Raw genomic sequence first — 4,878 nt, 5'->3', positions numbered from 1 at the left:
ACTGTGAAATCCATATACTCCTTATTTTAAATCAATTTTATATATTCTCAGAACTGTAGTCTTTAGTCTACTAAGCTAAGAAACGTAACTAGGACCATGCCCTAAGTTAAGTTGTTTCCTCATGCTTAAATTTGTAAACTCTTTCACTAAAGAATTATCAGAAAGCCCACACCTTATGCATTCAAGGCAAGAGATGAGAATAAAAGCAAAAGACAACCTGTTACGGGAAAGCAGACAAGATCCAAACAAGATGATTCTCACTCTATCTTTTCACGGAAATTTGAATTTTAAATGAAGTCTCTCAAGAATGCAAGATGATAAATCATCCTGATGGCAATGCTGTAGGTCTAGAGATATATTAATGTTTTCTTGTTTCTTATCCCCACTGTAGCTGGCTGTTAGGTTCTTCCTTTTATTATTTCAGCCACCTTTATCCTTTCAAGAGCGTAATTCTTCTCTTCTATTTAATTAAACAGTATCTGTTTATGGTGGTCATCCAATTTTATTTGATAAAGTAGGGCATGAATCAAGCATTCCTAGTTTATTGGGCTAACTGCAATGTTAAAGCTTGTTATACTACACTTAATATCATTAAAAAATTATGCAACCAGACAAACAATTTCTGATTCCTAATTCTTTGGAGGTAGAATTTTCATTTCTCTCCTCTGGAGTTAGTATAAATGATTCAAATGTGCCTTTCTCCATATTAAACTGATGAGATCTTGTTCTCAGATAGAAATTCCTGCTATACACTGTACCTTGAAGGTATATTAGGTCTGGAAAATACCTATTTCTTGAAACTTGATATGAGTTCTTTATGCGTCATCTTGTCATAGAGATTTTGAGAAGCATGTGTGTGTGTGTGGTGTGTGTGTCAGAGAGAGAGGTTTCCATTTCTTCTGGACTGTTTTTTATGTTCTATAATCACAATTTTGGTCATGGGTATATTTACAAAAAATAATTCCTGTACCTGAGAAAAATTATCATCCATTTGAATGTGAGACAAATTTGATTCTTTGCCAATTCACTAGAAGCAGGCTTTGTTGTACTAACTGGCACAAAAATGGACAGGGCAGAGACATGTTCTGGAAGTATTATTATTTCATGTGAAATGTGATAATTTTTAGAAAATAGCTGTGGGTTTTAAAAATATAGCATTTTGACAACCTTAGTAGAAATATATTTACTTGAAAGTATTCCTGAGCCAATTTCTATTGTATTTTAATATCATTTCAGGAATACCTTTTCTTGCATATGAAAAATTAAAATACCAGCAGAAATTTTTGTAGTTTTCTAATGAAAATTATAAACATCTGATGAAATTATTGTGCATTTTTGGAGTTATCTGAATGAATTCTATATATTTAAAATAATTAACATTAAGTAAATATTAAGGGTATATTTACTACTTGAAATGAAATATATACATTTATATTTTATTACAGTTATGAAAATTAATTGAGTGTTCACTACGTTCAAGGCATATTATGAAATAATTCAGGATTTTTAATAATGGGAAGGAATGTTGATAAAGAACAAGTGAACATCTAGTTATCACTTTCTATGTGCCCTTGTATTCTGAGGTGGCTTGTAGTATTCTTATCGAATCCAGCTGGGGTTTACCCACACAGTAAGACCAGATATCCACACCAAGGATTACAGCAGGTGAAGGTGCTTTTTTTTCAGGGCACCAAGCCAAGAGAATCAGGCACTAAGGCTTAAGTCTCTATAACCTCAATGGCTTATAGGTAAGGGTTTTAAAGGCAGGGATACATTTTAGGAAAGTAGTTTGCAGGCAAAATCATAAATCAATATGTGGAGGTTACACATTGATTTTGGCCTAATGGGCAGGATATCTTGAAGTGAGGGTTTCCAGGTCATACATAGATTCAAAGATTTTCTAATTTGAAGTTGGTTAAGGCAGAGAAACTTTGCTTATAAATTTGGGTTCAGCAGAAAAGAATGTTAGCTCTGGCTCATGAGTGTGAGTTTCTCCAGGCCCCTCAGAAAAACAAATAGAAAAAAGAACAGTGGTCAGAGTTCAGACCTTAGCTACCCCTTATCTGAGGTATACTTGCCTCCAGCTTTCTGAGATACAACTCAGTGGCATATGATAATATGTTATTTTTAGTTTCTATAGGGAAATCAAGCATCCCATGATTCTAGACTCCTTGACTACTGTTTTAAGCTATTACCTTTTTGCTTAACAAATTTATTTACTTTTCAGGGTTAGCTAGGTGCCTGGAATTACCCTTGAAGGAACTCAAGATTTTCATTTATTTCCCTGCTTGGGAGCCCACAGGCCCCTAAGAGGGGATGCCTGCTCCATCTCACTATCTTTGTTTTAGAAAGAAACTAATATTCCAACAGGAAAAGTAACCTCTAGTTTTAAAACTTGAAAGTTATAGGGCTAGAGTTTGAATTTAAGTATGTGTAATTCCAAAGCCTGTGTTCTCTCCATTACATGATATTAATTCAAAAATTAATTAAAACTTTATCCTCAAGGGATTTATAATCTTATGGAGAAGTAAGAAAAGCCCAGAAAAAAAATGACTGATAACTGGATTCAAACAGTTAGAAGGAAAAAGAAATGGAAACAATATTTCAAAAGTGAAAACAATCTCATCTTTGAGTTCATTTTCTAAACAGATGTTTTGAAAAATGAGGGAGTGTAAAATTATGTTGTGGCTGGGCATGGGGGCTCACCTCTATAATCCCAGCACTTTTGGAGGTCAAGGCAGGAGGATTGCTTGAGCCCAGGAGCTTGAAACCAGCCTGGGCAACAAAGGGAGATCCTGTATTACACACACACACACAAATTACCTTGTGTGGCAGTGTATGCCTATGGTCTCAACTTCTTGAGAGACCGAGGCAGAAGGATCTCTTGAGCCTGGGAGGTCAAAGTTACAGTGAGCAAAGATTGCGCCACTGCACTCCAGCCTAGGCAACACAGCAAGAACCTGGTTCAAAAAAAAAAAAAAAGGAACAAACAATCTGTTGTGACTGCAGAAGCAATGTAAGAGAAAAACAAATTTTTAGGGTTAAAAAGGAAGAATGTGGCCAGGCGCAATCACTCATGTCTGTAATCCCAACACTTAGGGATGGTGAGGTGGGAGGATCACTTGAGCCTAGAAGTTCAAGACCAGCCTGAGCAGTGCAGTTAGACACTCCACCATCTCTACAAAACAAAACAAAAAATATATATATTTGGGTGTGGTGGTGTTTACTTGTATTCCCAGCTATTTTGGATGCTGAGGCAGACAGATTACTTGAGCCTGGAGGTCTAGGCTTCACTGAGCAGTTCACTTTACCACTGCACTCTTGCCTGGGTGTCACTCCAGATAGGTGACAGTGTCTCAAAGAAAAAAAAAAAAAAAAAGAAAGAAAAAGGAAAAGAAAAAAGAAAGAAGAGTAGTGGTTGATGTTAGAAGAGTAAACTTATGTGACTTTTAAAAATATCAGGATATGTAATTTGACCTTTCAGAATTTTGAATCAACTGAAATTAGAATATTAATCTCAGGGAACCATGTGTGATAAAGAGAAAGATGAATCTTAGGGAAGATGCTATAAAACAAACTAAGAAAAAGCACATTAAATAAAATGAAAAAAGTTACTCATAGGTAAGGGAATTAACATAGTCTAAACTGTGATAACAGAGATACTTATTATGGTGTTAGAGTCTCTATAGAATGTCTATAGAGACTACAGACATTTATAAAACGTCTAAAGACATCTATAGAATGTCTATACAGACTTTAAACGTCTATAGAATGTCTAAATTAGTGGTCTAGATTAGAGAATCAGCTGCAAAGTAATAAATTCTGGTGTCATATCAGAGAATGAAATATACATGGATAGTATTAGAGAGAAGCATTTTTGCGCTTTGAATGGAATCTAAAAGAAAAATGTAATACCAAATTTTACATGGGAGAAGAAAGCCATGGAAAAAAGTGTTCAACACAATTTTTTAGGAACTAACAGGTCCATATTATTGAAGGAAAGATACTGAGGTCTTTAGGAAAAAAGTTAACATCTGTTTATTTTCTTGTGAATATTTTAATGAAGACTGAACAAAGCCTTCAGTTTTATGGAGAAACAATCAGGCTACGATAAAAGTTATTTGCTGAGCATGTTATCTGTATCAGTTAATCTCCCAGGTATTTTTCTCATTTAATTCAAACAGAATGCGTTTTATGAATGTGGAAACTGAGGTGCAAAGTAGTTAAGTAACTCACAGGGTCACAGAGCTAGTAACTTCCTATATTTTCAGTTTTCACACTGCTATAAAGATATTATCCAAGACTGGCTAATTTCTAAACAAAACAGGTTCAGTTGACACAGTTCTACATGGCTGGGGAGGCCTCAGGACCTCAGAAAACCTACAATCATGGCAACAGGGGAAACAGACACCTTCTTCACAAGGTGGCAGGAGAGAGTGAGAGAGTGAGCATGTGAAGGAGGAATTGTCAAACACTTATAAAACCATCAGTTCTCATGAGAACTCACTCACTAATGAAACAGCATGGGGAAACCACCCTCATGATCCAGTCACCTACCTTACTCGACACACGGTGATTACAATTTGGGGTGAGATTTGGGTGGGAACACAGAACCAAACCACATCACTTCCAGGGTTGAGTTTTAATCATAAACCAATCTGATTTGAAAGCCCTTACTCTTATCATTACTCCATGTGAAATACAGGAAAATAATTTTTATTTTTCTATTAGATGTGCTGAAAGGCAGTTTTCATGGAAAGATTGTGACTTGATGTTAAAGTAGGATTGAAAGTCTTAAAAAATGTGAAGGTAAAGAGAGTATCTTGGGGCTAATATTAGAACTCAATGGAATGGGGTTTTGATGTGTTGATTTTAGGA

The sequence above is a fragment of the Homo sapiens genome, chromosome 3 (genome assembly GCF_000001405.40).
Source record: "Homo sapiens chromosome 3, GRCh38.p14 Primary Assembly".
NCBI lineage: Eukaryota > Metazoa > Chordata > Mammalia > Primates > Hominidae > Homo > Homo sapiens.
This window is presented reverse-complemented; position numbering follows the sequence as displayed.